The sequence below is a fragment of the Homo sapiens genome, chromosome 6 (assembly GCF_000001405.40).
Source record: "Homo sapiens chromosome 6, GRCh38.p14 Primary Assembly".
Taxonomy (NCBI): Eukaryota; Metazoa; Chordata; class Mammalia; order Primates; family Hominidae; genus Homo; species Homo sapiens.
The window spans coordinates 65,660,384-65,677,563 of record NC_000006.12 but is presented as its reverse complement, the minus strand read 5'-3'; the positions used below and the strand labels follow the sequence as shown (position 1 = coordinate 65,677,563).

Sequence of the window (17,180 nt, the reverse complement as noted above, 5' to 3'; positions counted from 1 at the left end):
TTGTGTCTCCTTTAATTTCTTTCATCAATGTTTTATAGTCATTTATTCCCTTGGTTAAGATAATTCCCAAGTATTTTTTTCTTCTTTTTGATGTCATTGTAAATGGTATTGTTTTTAACTTATTTTTCAAAATTGTTCTTTGTTAACGTGTAGAAACACAACTGATTCTATATGTTGATTTTTTATCCCGGAAATTTTCCGAATTCATTTACTAGTTCTAACAGTTTTTATATGAGATCTATTGTGTTTTCTACATGTAAGGTCATATCCTATGTGAATATAATTGATTTTATTTCTTCCTTTCTGATTTGGTTGCCTTTTATTTCTTTCTCTTGCCTAATTTCTCTAGCTAGGACTTCTGGTACTATGTTGAATAGAAGTGATAAGAGTGCACATTCTTGCCTTATCCCTGATCTTACCAGAAAAGCTTTCTTTCTTTTTTTTTTTTTTTTTTTTTTCACCAATGACTGTGATAAAGCTATGGGCTTTACATATTTTACCTTCATCGTGTTGAGATTTTTTTTTCAATTTCTAGTTTTTTTAATTTTTTTAATCATAATCAGTGCTGAGTTTTGTCAAATTTTTTCTACATCTATGAAGGTGATCAGGTGGTTTTCACTCTTAATTCTGTAAATGTGGTGTATCATATGGATAGATTTTCCTATGTTGAACAGTCCCTTCATCCCTGAGAGAAATCCCACTTGGTCATGGTATATGATTCTATTAAGATACTACTGAATTTGGTTTGCTAGGAAATTTCAGAGGATTTTTACATCTGTATTCATCTGGAATATTGGTATGCAATTTTTTTCTAGTGTTTTTAATCTAGCTTTAATCTCAGAATAAGGCTGGCCTCATAAAATGATGTTGGAAGTATTGTCTCCTCTTCAATATTTTAGCAAGTGGAAAAAGATTGACATTAATTCCTCTCTACATATTTGGTAGAATTCACCAGTTAAGCCATCTAGTCCTAGACTTTATTTCTGTTGAGAGGTTTTTGCTTATTGATTCAATTTTCTTACTAGATATATGCCTGTTAACACTTTCTATTTCTTCATGATTTAGTCTTAGTAGGTTGTATGTGTCTGGGAATTGATCCATTTCTTTGACGTTATTCAATTTGTAGACGTATAATTTTTGTAATACTCTTTTATAATCTTAATTTCTGTGGCATCAGTTGTAATGTCTCAATTTATAATTTTATTTCAATACTCTCTCTTTTTGTCTTAGTCTAGCTGAGGTTTTGTCAATTTTGTTGATATTTCAATAAACCAATTCTTATTTTTGTTGATTTTTAAAATTGTTTTTCTATTTTCTATTTGTTTCTGCTCTAATCATTAAAATTCCTTCCTTCTGCTAACTTTGGGCTTATTTTGTTCTTCTTTTTCTAGTTTCTTATGGTATAAAGTTAGGTTGTTTATTTGAGATACCTTTTCTTTATAATGTAGGTGTTTATCACGATGAAGTTCTTTCCTAGTGCTGCTTTTGCTACAGCTCATAAATTTTGGTATGTTAGGTTTTCATTTTTGTTTGTGTCAGTACATATTCTAATTTCCCTCGATTTTGTCTTTGATCCATTGGTAGTGTGTTAGTTTTCATATAATTGTAAATTTTCCACTTCTCCTTCTTGTATTGATTTCTATTTTTATTCAGTTGTGTGCAAGAAAGATACTTGGTGTGATTTCAATCGTTTTAAATTTCTTAAGATTGTGTTGCAACCTACAATGTATTCTTACCTGGAGAAGAATATGTACACTTGAGAAGAATGTTTATTCTACTGGTTTTGTGTAGACTGATTCTATGTATCAGTTGGGTTCAATCAGACTATAGTGTTGTTCAAGCTCTCTTATTCCTTATTGGTCAACTATCTGGTTTTCTATCCATAATTAAAAGGGGAGTGTGGGATTTCCTGCTATCATCATGTTACTCTCTATCTCACTCCAGTTCTGCCTATTTTACTTTACATATTTGGGTGCTATGTGCATATATATTTGGTATACATTCCTAGTGACTTCACCCTTTTATAATTCTAAGATGTTATTTTTGTTTTATGACAGATTTTGACTTAAATTATATTTTGTCTGATACAAATATGGCTACCTCTGCCTTCTTTTGCTAACCACTTACACATAATATCTTTTTTTCATCCTTTCATTTTCAACCTATGTGCATCCTTAAAGCTAAAGTGAGTCTCTTGTAGGGTGCTTATAGTTAAATCATGGTTTTGGTTTTTATCTTAATCTGTTTAGCTACTCTGTATCTTTTTATTGGGGATTTTAATTTGTTTATATTTAAAATATTTATTGATAAAGACTTATTATTGCCATATTATTCATTGTTTTCTGTCTATCTTGTAGCTTTTCTTGTTCCTCTTTTCCTCTCTTGCAGTCTTTTCTTCCCATTGACTTTTATACTGTCAGTGTTTAATTGCTTTCTTATTTTCTTTTGCATATCTCTTATAGATATTTTCTTTGCAGTTACCATGGGGCTTCCATAAAACGTCTTATAATTATAACAATCTATTTTAAGCTGATAACACATAATTTCAATTGCATACAAAAAACTTTACATATTTACTTCCTCCTCCACACATACACTTTCTGTTACTGTCACAATTATACTTTCTTATATTGTGTATAAATTTATTTTAGTTGTATTTTTATACTAATACTTTCATTATACACCAGAACTAAAAGTGATTCATATGCTACCATTATAGTATTGAAGGATTCTGTATTCATTAAATATTTACCTTTGCTACCAAGCTGTATACTTTAATATGTTTTTTTTGTTGCTATCTAGCATTCTTTTGTTTACAATTGAAGGACTCCCTTTAGTATTTTTTGTAAGGCAAGTATAATTATAAACTACCTCAACTTTTGTTAATCTGGAAATGTCTTTATTTCTTTTTCATTTTTGAAGGACAGATTTGTTCCATATAGTAATCTTGGTTGGCAATTTTATTTATTTCAGCACTTTGAATATGTCATTCTAGTCCTTCTGGCCTTCAATATTTCTGCTGAGGAATCCTGTGTTAGTTTTATGGAGGATTTCTTGTATATAATGAATCACTTTTATTGTGCTGCTTTTTTTTTTTTTTTTTTTTTTTTTTTGAGACGGAGTCTTGCTCTGTCACTCAGGCTGGAATACAGTGGTGTGATCTCGCCTCACTGCAATATTGTGCTGGCTTTTAAAATCCTCTCTTTGTCTTTTATTTCTGACAATGTGATTACATTGTGTCTTATTGTTGTCTTCTTTGAGTTTATGCCACTGGACTTCTTCAACGTGGTTGTTCATTTCCTTGCCCCAATTTGGGAAGTTTTCTGCCATTATTTCTTCCAACAAGAGTTTTACCTCTTTAACTCTTCCCCTTCTAAAACTCTCATAATGTGTATTTGTTCCCTTGATGGAGTCACATCAGTCTTTTAGGCTTTCTTCACTCTTCATTCTTTTTCTTTTTGCTTGTCATTTCAAAAGTTCACTGTTTTTCTTCTGCACAATTAAGCCTGCTTTTGAGTTCTTCTAGAGAATTATTTAATTATATAATTTTATTCTTTAGTTTCAAAATTTCTGTGTGTTTATTTTTATTAGTTTTGCACCCCCTCCCTTCCCTACACATCAAGCTTGGGGATTTGCCCCTGCCCAGGACTGGCAAATTGACTTTACTCATATCAGGAAACTAAAATGCCTCTTGGTCTAGTTAGACACTTTCACTGTATGGGTAGAGGCCTTTCCCACAGGGTCTGAAAAGGCCACCGCGGTTATATCTTCCCTTCTGTAAGACATAATACCTCAGTTTGGTCTTCCCACCTCTATACAGTCCAGTAACAGACCGGCCTTTATTAATCAAATCACCCAAGCAGTTTCTCAGGCTCTTGGTATTCAGTGGAACTTTCATGCACCTTACTGTCCTCAATCTTCAGGAAACGTAGAATGGACTAATGGTCTTTTAAAAACACGCCTCATCAAGCTCAGCCTCCAACTTAAAAAGGAGAACTCTGACAAGGATAGAGCCCAAAAACTTACGCTGAACCCCCTTGGCCACTCTCTAAGTGTATGTCCTGGGTCCTCCCAATTCTTAGTCCTTAAATACCTGTTTTTCTCTTTCTCTTATTCAGACCTTGTATCTTCTGTTTAGTTTCTCAGTTCATACAAAACCACATCTAGGCCATCACCAATCATTGTATATGACAAATGCTTCTTTTAACAACCCCACAATATTGCCTCTTACCACAAAATCTTCCTTCGGCTTAATCTCTCCCACTCTACGTTCCCACGCTGCCCCAATCCCACTGACAGCAGCCCTGAGAAACATCGCCCATTATCTCTCCATACCACCTCCCAAAATTTTCGCCACTCCAACACTTCAACACTATTTTGTTTTATTTTTCTTATTAATATAAAAGACAGGAATGTCAGGCCTCTGATCCGAGCTAAGCCATCATATCCCCTGTGACCTGCACGTATACATCCAGACAGCCTGAAGCAACTGAAGAATCACAAAAGAAGTGAAAGTGGCTGGTTCCTGCCTTAACTGATGACATTACCTTGTGAAATTCCTTCTCCTGGCTCAGAAGCTCCCCACTGAGCACCTTGTGACCCCTGCCCCTGCTGCCAGAGAGCAACCCCCTTTGACTGTAATTTTCCACTACCCACCCAAATCCTATAAAATGGCCACACCCCATCTCCCTTCACTGACTCTCTTTTTGGACTCAGCCCGCCTGCACCCAGGTGATTAAAAAGCTTTATTGCCACACAAAGCCTGTTTGGTGGTCTCTTCACATGGACTCGCATGAAAATTTTCTGTCTTTGTTGATGTTGTCATTTTATGTATTTATTTTCTGTATTCATTGAGCATCTTTACAATGGTTAATTTTGAATTTTTTGTTGAGTAATTCATATATCTCCATTTCTTTAGGACTTATTTCTGGAGATAGTTTTTTGATACTTTGCTTGGCTCATGTGCCCAACTGTTGGTTACAACAGTTTCTTCATGTGCCTTGTTACTTTTTGTTGGGATCTATGCATTTGAAAAGTAGCCCCCTCTCCCAGTATTTGTGGACCAGCTCCAAACAGGGAAAGTTTTTCTTGAAATGACCCAGCTACATATTTTGCGGGTCTCTCAAATGTTTTCTGTGAATTTGTAAATTCCTAATTAGGGAGATTTTACTGGTTTCCTTTTTTAGAAGCTGAAATTTCCTCCTTCTTATGGTGTCTGTCTCCACTAATGAAGATCCTTTGATGTTACTGTAAGTCACTCATTTCTTTTTCTCCTCATTGGCCTCAGGCATTTAGAGTATGCCAGCTCCCTTTAGTGCTCTGAGACTAGCAAGTAAACAACCAGTTTTTCAGGCAGCTCCTCCCGAAAGTCAGAATATTTGACACACCTTTTATTCTTCTCTTTTCCCCCTGAGGGACAAACTGTCAAGTTGAATCAGCTTCTGTCTGCTATACTGTAGGTCCTCTGGAGCTCTTATGTTTGTTTTCAGTATCCTCAAGCATCTAGAGCATTCAAATTCCTGTCAGTATGCCAAGTCAGGTGAAACTGTTATGCTGAGCTGGGGAGAAAGATGATGGTAACTGAGTGTGTGCTAGTTCAAAGGGCTGCCTCTGTTTCCACTGGTTTCTTATCTGACACCCTTTCCTGTCAGCACTTAGATTCAAATAGGGAAGAAATCAGTCTCTTAGCTAGTTCCCTCCAAATCTGAACATTAGACATATGTTCCAGTCTTCTATTTCCTCCCCAGGGAGAAGTGAGGAGTTAGGATCTTCCTTCTGATTGCACATTTCTGAGCTAAGGGCAGGGCTTTGGCAAGTGGGTGCCACAAATTTTCCCATCAACTTCAGTGTGGCTGGCATGATACTCACTTGGGCTATAGGAGTCTCTTGGCTGGTCTCTGGGTTTCTCACAAAGGAGAATGTTTTGCATATTGTTGAGTTGGTGTCCCTTTCAGAGGAGGGTTTGGTACTTATTCAACCATCTTCCTTACTTCACCCTGCAACAAGGAACAAAATTTATTCCTAATATTTTTGTGTCAAGAAAGCCTGTCAGAATTTTTTTTCCATTAGTTATGTGAAATATAACAGTATTTTATATTAGTTTTTTTTGTTCAAAGTTTATTATTATTTATTCCTCTTTTTAGGTAAACTAATTTGCAGAACACAAGTGTTAGTCAACCAAATTTTAGAACCTTACAAAATAAGATTAGTAGAGAAAAAAATACTGTAATTTACCAATGTAATGTTTTTAAAGTACATCTCTTTGTTTTCATGTAAAATAAAATAATATCCAAAATAGAAACATTTACAAATTTGATCGTTCTGTTTCATGATTGAAACAAGAGTGGAACTGATTTTAATTTAATGATCATACTACCATCTGGCATTTGCAATTTTGTTATCTTCACAGATGTCCTAGGATGTGGGAGGCTGGAACAGGAGAAATAGAAAGTGGATGCATAAAATTAACATATAACATGGCATAAATTCTTAAATTTTAAGTATTCAATTACTACAATAAGGACTATCTCAAGTTATAATAATCAGACAAATCAATGTTTAACAACATTTGAAAAGACATATTTCTGAAGGTTTTCTCCTTTCTTTGTGCTTTAAAAGATGGGTTGTTAAATGTGTCTCGGTGAAAAGAAATATAGGTGCCATTCATATAAAATGTGTTTTCTCCTCTGTGAGATAGCTATAACTGTGGCCAAGGAAACAAGGATTGTAATTAACTTGCTCTTTTTATGTTAAATAAATGTTTTTAAATATGGAATGATGAAGAGAAAATATTCTAGTGTCGAGGGTAAACTGATCATTTGAAATGGCATATATTTTGGAAAAGAAGAGAAATTAGTTCCTAAGGTAAGTAGCAGGGCTTTTTTCTTGAAATAAGGTCTGATTGTTTGATCTTATTAGTCTTAAGTTAGCATTCATTATCAATTGTTCAAATTTCTCAGTATCTGGCATGTAATAAGCTATTAATAGAGTTTGGATGATTAACCCAGAAACTTAGACTAACACTTCTACTGACTCCATAAAGATCATAGGCATCTGTATCAGTCATGGTCCTGGCACAGAACAGTAGCACACACAGAGTTTAATATGATATTTCAATGAAATAACTATTTACAGAAGTGTGAACAGAGTGAGGAAACCTTAACAGAATGTTGAAATACCTCATGCCTAGCAACAATGGGAATCCCTTACCACCCCTAAACCCAAAGAGATAAGGGAAACCAAAAGGTCCATCCATGCAAAAGGAGATATGCAACAGAAGTTCTTTGGTTCCATAATTGACTTTTAATGAGAGAGTGTTTATATTACAAGGAAATGTTAAGAAAATAACAAGTAGTTGAACAGTAAATAGCATTCAATTAGAAGGCATCTAAACTAGAGGACAGAGAGAAATGGCCCTTAGAAAGAAGCCAAGTCCTCCATTGAAAGATGATAAAAGGAGAAACAGAAAGGTGCAGGGTTAATCTTGTTGTATTTGTTCTAATTTCTCAGGTGAAAGAGTAGCATATGGGTTACATGTTCAAAAACAATGAGGAGGAGGAGGAGTCAGAGAGGCATGATGGAGACAATAAATCATTTTTATTAGGACTAACTATATGCTATGTACCATTAATGCTATCACAAGTATATGTTATAAACATTATTGTCATCATTTTACAGGAGAAAAAACTAAGAGATGGAGAGTTTAACCCATTTTTTCCAGATCATGCCATTCCTGTGTGACAAAGCCATAGTTAACTCGCATATGTCCAACTGTGCGGGTGTTAATAACTCTATTTGACACACAGTTTTTACACAATGATAGTAATGAGGGAAACAGGAGTTTACAGAAAAAATGAAACAAGGTGGTCTTGCTATATTAAGGACTCATTTAATGGTGATGACCATGGATTTAATGTGGCACCAATATGCATAGCTCTTACATTTCTGGCCTGCAAATCATAGTTGTCTGTGTATAGGTGAAGAGAAGCTGACAGAAAGAAGAGATCAGAGCAACCAGTGAGGGACAGCTATTGACATCATGAAGGACAAAGCATTCTCTGGCAATTGGTATTATTTTTCTCTGATTTTAAGCTATACCTAATATTTCTGGAGGGCCAGAGAGGCCAGAAACCCTATTACAAAAGGGAAATTTCAGTCTTTTATAATCCCTACTGTACAGAGAGTCTGATGCCTTTAAAATTATTTAAGTGTTTTTGTATGACTAAATCTTATGCCTCTAGAAAAGGGCCTTCGCTCCAAGTCAGATTCCTTTTAGCATGAATATATCATCTACTTTGTTTATATATGAGGATTCACCAATGAGTCCACACACACATTCATCGCCTGTAGTTTAGAAGCAGGTACCTCAAGAGCATCTCTTTACCTTGTGTGGGTCAAAATTAAAAGTTTTATTGCAAAATGAGAGATCCTCCTATCTGCATGAATGATTATATACCAAGAAATTCATAATAAATGTACTTTAGATAACATCATAACCATATATACTTAAATAAACATCATACATTTAAATTTTCTTAGAATCCATAGTTTATAACTGTATAGGTACTAAGTCAACAGGCTGTGTGCTATAGCTATGGGCAACAAATTGCAGATCTTTATTTCCAGGTACAAAATTAGTTAGCAGTGGCAGTAATTGCCCAACCCTTTAGTGAGACTAATCATTTTTTCAAAAGCTTAAAGCAGCGTAATCTACTGATTTACACTGTGGTTTATTGGCTTCCTGCTAAATAAGGTAACTTGTCAATTAACAGTTTTATTAAGAAACTAGTGAAAACAAAGTAGTGTCTGTTTGCCAATGTCTTCAATGTTTAAAGGCTAATAAGAGATCTTGAAAGGTAATCTTTATATTGTATGGAAAGGGAGAGAGACAGATATGACTCAGTAAAGCTGATGGAAGAAAATGATTTGAATTTTATATAGTTTTTAATCTCTGTAAAACAGTGGTTTAAAGTAGGGACAAGGAAGCTTTCTGATAAAGGGCAGATAATACATATTTTTTTGTTTTGTTGGCTGTACAGTCTCTGTTGCAATGATCCTGTCATTGTAGAGTGAAAGCAGTCATAGACAATAAATAAATAGGTGTGGCTGTGATTCAATAAAATCATGTTTACAAAAACAGCTGGCCAGCTGGATTTAGTCCAAGAGCCACAGTTAGCCAAGACCCAATATAAAATAATGAGGTGCAAGGTTATTGCCTATTTAATGTGATAATGAAGTAGTATTGAAAGATATTTTAAAAAACAGTCAGGCTTTCACTTTAAATGAATTGATTTTAGGGTACTTTTAAACACATATGTGAAGAAGCATGTTAGTCACAACAGTGATTTCTACTAATCATTGATTCAAGTAAGACTAAGATTCACAGTATAAAGACAACACCTAATTAGAAAACAGGAAGAAATATGATAGCCCAAAATAAAGTGGGCAAAGGGGATCTAAAGAAAGAGCCAAATATGAAACTTATGGAAGAGTTAGAGTGTAAACTATTTCATGATGAATTGGCTTTGTGTACTACTGATACTACTTCAATGGTGCATTTGCTGATATTTCTATTCACACTTAATGTTTCTCAGTTGCTGTTGTACAATACATATCAACCACTCACCCCATTACCATTGAATATCTTTTCCAACACTTTTTATTCCAAATTTACTGATAAAATTCTGTTTGAACATCAGCATCTTCATATTAGCATATCAACAAGCTTCTCTTTTGATTTATGTCCTTTTATTCATTGCTTACACAAATATGTATTGTGATACTGTAATTTAGGAAATATTGTTCTGGGTGGGAAAAATGTACCAGTGGAAAATGCCAGCAAAATCTTTGGTCTCAAGGAGCTTGCAATCTTGCAATCAAGAGGTAGATGAATGAACAGATAATTTCTGAGAACAATCATGTTAATATGCTACAAGAGTAATGTGACTGACAATTAATAAGGGTATTCGTGATAAGAATGGAATTTAAACAACAATTGATTTGGTAGTTGGGAAAGTCCTCTGAAAAGAGGCGTCACTGAGTTAAGATCTGAATCATAAGAATATGGTAATGGTGCTAAAATCTAGATCCAATGCTTACCAGTCAGAGGAAATGGCAATTACAAAGTGTCTTTGCTGGAAATGAACATAAATGTGTTCCAGAAATAGAAAGTTATGGGTGAAGCCAAATAAGTGAGAAAGAGAATGGTATGAATTTAAGTGAGAGCATTAGGCAAGGAACAGATTACATGAGTTTTGTAAACAAAGGTGAGGAATTTAGTTGTATTTTAAGCACAGTGGAAGAATTTGAAGAGTTTTAGCAGAACAGTCACATAATCAGTTTCATGTTTTACAAAAATTGCTCTGGCTACTGTGGGAAAAATAGAATAAGTAAGAGCAAGAACAGAAGTAGAACAACAAATTAGGAGATAGGGCAGTAGTCAGAGCAAGAGATTAATTCTGTGTTTGCATTTTTAAAATCACTTTCATCAAATCTCTTAATAAATCTCTTCAAAGGAAGTTCTGATTTGTTAGTACCTAGAACTTACCATCTCCAGGCATATGTATTGATGGAATTTAAGTTAACAATTCAAATCTTTTTTTTTTTTACATTGGGTGGCAATGTAGATTTACGTTTCTATTTTTTATATTTTTTATGTATTTTTTATTTATTTTTAATTTTTATTATTTTTATGTATTTTTCAAGAGTATTTATCCTTAATCTTTCTTAGCTTAATAAAATGAAATACAAATAACAGATAAAGAACCTTTTTTATTCTATGATTCTAGAAGATGTCTATAGGATGCTGATATTACTTTATTTTCACATATGGTTTCTATAGTCTCATGAACCCAGCAATTCTATATTTTAGAATATTTTAATATGTTAGAGAAAAGTCAAAATTTAAATTTCTCAAAAATTATATTTAATCAATATCTGTAGAACACAATGAAGTGTGTACTATTAAGAATATTAGAATTGACAACCACAGCTTACTATTTAGTACAACCACATAATATTTACTACCCGACAGGTATAAACTTTAGTTATGCTAACATTTAATTACTACAGTAATTAGTAATTTAAATATGCTATGTAAAGCATATGTATAATTATCCCCATTTTAAAACTGAGAAAACTGAGACAAGAAATTTTGAGACTTGTTAGAGAACAAAGCAAATAAGAAATGGAGATGGGAGCCAATACAGATTATTCTGGCTCCAAAGTCCCTGTTTTTAACTACTATTGCTTCTACATTACTATAAAAAATAAGTAAATATTGGCCAATGTGTCTATAGATATTTTATGAGAATAATGTTTGACAACCTATTATATAGCTTGGAGTACTGATTTCTTACATTTTTGTACACACATACTATTTCTTTCTGGTTCAGTATGATGGAATCTTAGCTATAGGGAAATGAACATGACACCAATGACTTAGTTTTAAAGAAACATAAATCCAAATTACCACCCAATGTAAAAAAAAAAAAAGATTTGAATTGTTAACTTACATTCCATCAATACGTATGCCTGGAGATGGTAAGTTCTATGTACTGACAAATCAGAACTTCCTTTGAATACTGGAAAAATATTACCATGTTTTGAATTGGAAACCATCAGGCACAAGAGAGAAGTTTGACACAAATAACTGGGAGTGTATATGATTTATGAAGAAATAACCCACACTATTATTGTTGTTTGTATCTTAAAAAGAGAAAGTTTACAAAGTTTATCCATACTTATCTTATTTAGAGATTTATTTATCATGGTTATGTAAATTTAGTTCTGGTGGTTGTTTCAGTTAAAAGGTACAGATCCCAGAGTTTTGTTTCATTCTCTAAATCTTCCATACAAATCATGAAGGGTAAGAATGGAATATTATTTAAGAATCTATTAATTGCTCACTGGACACCTTCACACATTTTTACAACTATGTATTAGGAGACTGCATATTTACAAATATCCACAATTTCATATTATAACATCAAGGATACCTAAGTAGCATAGACTGAATATTTAGTACATGCCATGCATGATGCTAAGCAATGTTTCTGCTGTAATTCTCATAAAACCTTGTGCCATTTTTAAGAAAATAATCTATTTTACTGTGTAGGAATTCATCGTTTCCCACAGTTTAGTGGCCATTTCTTGAGGGGTCACTGCTATTATGAAACAAATATAAATTGAAACTCAGGCCTTTAGCCCCTTCGTCTTAAGACCGAGCTTTAAGAGATAAATGAAGAAAGAAAGTATACTTCCTGGTGCAATTATGTGAGGGATTTAAGAACATCTCATAGCACAAATAAGACTGCCTTTTCTGTCCTTCAGTTCTCATACCTTAAATTCTTATGGATTTTCGATATTTGAAGTTAAGACATTATGACTTGTATGTCCCTAGTTAAAACTGAACTATAACCACAGACCTATTCCATTATGTAATTTTAGATTGTAAAGATTTCTCTCAATGTCTCTATGAAGATTTCCCTCAAAGAAAGCTGATGTCTAAGATCATACCACTGAAGGAGGAAACTGGGTACATTTAACTGCAGAAAAGGTTAGCCTGGATTATTAAGAGCTCTTTTCCTGATGGGCAGATCACAGAGACAGAATTGCTATGTCCCATCTTGTCACAGACCTTTTGTTATCTACTGGGATGAGAACGTTGAAAACTGAAAAGAAAAAACAAAGCACAAATTCTTTTAACCTCAATATTTTGCCTAGTAAATATGGTGATCAGATACCTTAGTTTGTCTAAGTTTTGCACCTGTTGTCACATCATAATTATTAAAAGGATCTCTGTTTACTCCCTCTGAAAGAAATAATATGAAAACAAATTATTATCCTGTTTATTTGTGAGCATATTAAAAATGAATAACTTCCCTAAGGTGAAATAATTTATAAGTGGAGAAATTTCATATTGAACCCAGAGAATCCTTCTCCTCTGCCCACCATCCTCTCTAGCAACTTTCTCATATATACTAAGTGCTTATTAATGCCATTGTCTTCTTTTCTCTATCAAATTATATTTCCCTCTGACTCCTCTAGACAATACTTCTTTTGTAACTCCTCTCTTCAACTTTCTTTAATATGTTTGCTTTACTTAGCTATCATATTAAAATATTCACAGCTGTAAAAATGCATTGTCTGAAGTTATCCATGGGTTTTGTATCCTGGATTGATGTTCTTCTTTTCTTTACTCCCTTCATTTCCATAACACTTCTTGAACCCTAATGACCCACATTCATCTCAGTCTGCCCTTTCTTCTGTGTGCATGGTGTGCTTTTGCCCATACCATTTGAGACTGAACGTTTGGTGAAGATTGTCACTTTCTGGTTCTTTCACTATTATTATTCTGTTTTTCTAATTTTGGTTGAAATATATAAAAATTTATGGGCCGGGCGCGGTGGCTCATGCCTGTAATCCCGGCACTTTGGGAGGCCGAGGCAGGCGGATCACGAGGTCAGGAGATGGAGACCATCACGGCTAACACGGTGAAACCCCGTCTCCACTAAAAATACAAAAAATTAGCCGGGCGTGGTGGCCGCACCTGTAGTCCCAGCTATTCTGGGGACTGAGGCAGGAGAATGGCCTGAACCCGTGAGGCGGAGCTTGCAGTGATCCGAGATTGCGCCACTACACTCCAGCCTGGATGACAGAGCAAGACTCCGGTCTCAAAAAAAAAAAAAAAAAAAAAAGAAAAGAAAAAACAAAAAATTAGCTGGGCGTGGTGGCGGGCGCCCGTAGTCCCAGCTACTAGGGAGGCTGAGGCAGGAAATGGCCTGAACCCGGGAGGCGGAGCTTGCAGTGAGCTGAGATCGTGCCACTGCACTCCAGCCTGGGCAAGAGAGCGAGACTCCGTCTCAAAAAATAAATAAATAAATAAATAAAGATTTTATCTACTAATGATGTATCTACATAAGTTTAACTTGCTTTTGTACCATGATCCAAACCATGACAGATGCATTTCAAAGCTATCTTTCTGCCCACTTTGGCCAATGAACCCATTTGGTTTCCCTGATGCCTCCAGTAAGGATAAGTCCAAGTTGGTATATTCTCATTATATTTGCTAGTGATAATTCCTTTCTTTAAGTTTCTTCTCCTATCTCTTGACTATATTTAGTTTTGCTAATTAGCCTTCCTTTTTGTAAATGGGACTATAGCCTGATGACACTCTACTCTTATTTTTCTATGGTGTCTCCTGTGGTCCTATACCAATTCATGGCTCTAACAATCTTTCTAAGGGTTTGACTCCTGTGCCATATACTCTTAGAATTGGTTTCTCTGCTGAGCAACATATCGAACTCTCTTCCTGTTCTCTAGATACCTAAACACAGACATACTTCTAAACTAGCATGAATTTTTAGAGGCTCTAATCGCTGGAAAGAATGAAATTGATAAACAATGCCAAACTGTAGAGTGCATATAAGAGCATAAGAAACATTGTGATTACCCCCGTATGATTACTTTGCTGCTTCAAGAAAGAAGCTGCTGCTTCTTTGAGCTGTCAAAAATAGTTTCAAAGTATTATTTTCAAATATTTTTCTTATATTTTAGGGGCGCTCCCTCTAAACCCTAACATACGCTTAGCCTGATCATCATTACATTTCAGAGTAGATTCATTTTTTCTTATGTATCCCATTTTGGGTATTATAGTGCCAACATCCTAGTTTACCAGAGGTAAAATTTTGTTAAGTTTATCTAAATCGTCACATTTTATAACAACCTTGACTAACTTGTTATTTTTCTTCCACCTTCCCTTTTATTTTTTCTCTATAGTACTGTTTAGCATTCCAGATAATGCTAGCAGATATTAAAGATAAACCTTAAAATTTTAGTGTTTATAACAGAGCATGTAGTCATTTCAACACTGTGGTTCTTGACATGCTGCCTTCTTCAATACGGGGTTTCCACATCCACCCTGAGCATGGATTATTGAGCTGAAAGATGGGGCAAAAGATGTGGAGCACTCATTTATTGAGGAGAAATTCCATTTACAGACAATTTTATGGTAGATTAAAATAAAGCAAATATTAATTGCAATTGTATAAGTATGTAACAATGCAAAATAGATTGTTCTAAATTCTTTTGTTTTTTATTTAACATCGATGTCTCCCTTGCCTTTGAGAGAGAATATTGCATTGCAAAGCTGATGGGTGTTTGAGTGAAAAAATATATATCAAGCTCATCCTTAATGTAACCTGGTGATCATACTTTGGCTGATATGAGATTGGACATTAGCTTGGAGATGAGCCATTTCATTAAGCCACAGTGACCTTCTCTCTTCACTAAATTTGAGTAGAAGATAAACCTCTTCCAGAAATTAAGTGGTAAATTTTGGGAATGTTCAGAATCAGTACCTTTTATCTTTTTATTCTGTTGTTAGATATGTATGATAGGTTGCAAATAATTTATTTACTTTTGCCTTTTTTTTTATCCTTAACCTTAATTTATCCTTAACCTTTACTTAAAGGAAGTCTAGAAATATGGTGTGACCAGAAAAAAAGTAAAATGAGTGTGGTGAATTTGCATCCAGTTTCTTCCCTACTGTCTAATCTCTGGTGATTATTAACTTTGCCTTAGCTGTAGCCTTTTAAGTAACCTCCTTCTTGCCTCTCCATCCTTTCATTATGCCTCCATTCAAAACTGACACAGAAAGATCCTGTACATATAAGTAGGAATTCAAAGTTTTATAGATCAGCCTAATATGCATTTTCCAAGAATAGCTGCCATTTTGTATTCTATTCTCTAACCAAACCAGACTGTGTATTGTTCCTTGTGCAGGCACAGATTTTTACCATCTTCATACATTTGCTCATATAATTCTAAAACTGCTTGGGAGAAGTGGTACAAATGACCACTCATGAAATCATCCGAAAGTTCCAGGTAGAATTTGCCTTATCCTCCTTTCTGTTCACATAGCAATATGTCTGTAACTAAATCATGGAAATAGTGTATAATGCAATTCCTTTCTCTTCCATGGAAGTATAAGGCAAGAATATCTCATTCATTCAAAATTGTATTATTATTGGAGCCTAAGTGACCTTATGTGTTTATTATTGAGCTAAATAGGAAAATACTTTGTAAGTTATAAAGTTCTGTGAAAGTATTTTAACATTGTAGCATAGCCTTGTGCAAATTTACTCTGTTTAAATTTATATAATCTTTTTAAGCCTCAGTTCCCTCAAGATATGTATAATAATGGTCACTACATGGAAGGGGCATAGAACAAAGCAAGAACAAACACCAAACAAAACCTTTTTTGCTTCTGATATAGCCTGGAAAAAGTTCTCAAAAGATGCTTATTGTTGTAATTAATATTTTACCGTCTCATATATGGTGGTTATATAAACCTATGGTTCTCTGGAGGTGAGATATAGTCCCTAGGTCTCAGAAAGGATCTAAACATTCCTTTGGTAAGGAAGACCATCTTTCCATTATAATCACTTTCTGAATACATTTTGGAAAGTGTTTAGGAGCTGCAGAAAAACAAATAAAAGACTACCACTTATAGACCGAGTTATTTTGAGAATTTAGCATTTAAGCTCTGTAGACTGTACTTACAGCTTATTTCAAGGTACAATTTATATTATTAAATATCGCTTTTATTATCATCATTATCATAATAATCATTGTCACACTAGTGCTACATAGTAGAGTATTAAAGCAATTACATAAAAGCAGTGTGTTACAAAGCAATAAAAGAAGGACACTATGAGTCCTGAGGTGCTTTCTAATTGACTCTTTCAATTTCAAAATATAAGTTTACAAAGCTTCACATGCAAATAAAATGAATTATCAAGAAATTAAGGTGATCACAGTATCAGAAAGTTAATATATCAATTTTCCGTAAGCATTGCATATGTCTGTTATTTCATGTTATATTCAAACGTAATAGGGTACTAAAAATATATAATTGCGTGTGAGTGTGTTTGTGTGAGTATACATATATTTCCCTTACCATAGAAGAACATCTTTTTTCCCAAAAATGTAGAATTCAGGAAATTACAGTACATATGGATATCTGTCTTTAGATGTTCAATTGTTTGTCCTTACAGGTTTCAAAAAGGCGTATAGTTATATAAATTAAACATTAAAATAAAGTGCCATGAAGCGCTTTTCCACTCCTTACCTATGACTAAGTGCTACATGAGGAACTGTCCCCTCATCATATTTCATTT

At 34.1% G+C, this 17,180-nt stretch overlaps 1 protein-coding gene across 3 annotated transcripts in view, besides 3 other annotated features; it reads left to right on the top strand.

The window, feature by feature from the left end:
* The window catches only part of EYS (eyes shut homolog), a 1,987,247-nt gene that overhangs the window by 29,663 nt on the left and 1,940,404 nt on the right, over window positions 1-17,180 (top strand). The gene's annotated exons all lie outside the window — the stretch shown is intronic.
* Window positions 9,434-9,603: an enhancer, noted in NCBI's record as "experimental_93383 CRE fragment used in MPRA reporter constructs". NCBI's record gives its function as "activates a minimal promoter by MPRAs in K562 erythroleukemia cells, with activity observed for both the introgressed and non-introgressed 6:66377939 variant alleles {active_cell/tissue: K562}" and the evidence as "EXISTENCE:reporter gene assay evidence [ECO:0000049][PMID:34662402]".
* Window positions 9,434-9,668: a biological region, named in NCBI's record as "Neanderthal introgressed variant-containing enhancers experimental_93370 and experimental_93383".
* Window positions 9,499-9,668: an enhancer, noted in NCBI's record as "experimental_93370 CRE fragment used in MPRA reporter constructs". NCBI's record gives its function as "activates a minimal promoter by MPRAs in K562 erythroleukemia cells, with activity observed for the introgressed 6:66377874 variant allele {active_cell/tissue: K562}" and the evidence as "EXISTENCE:reporter gene assay evidence [ECO:0000049][PMID:34662402]".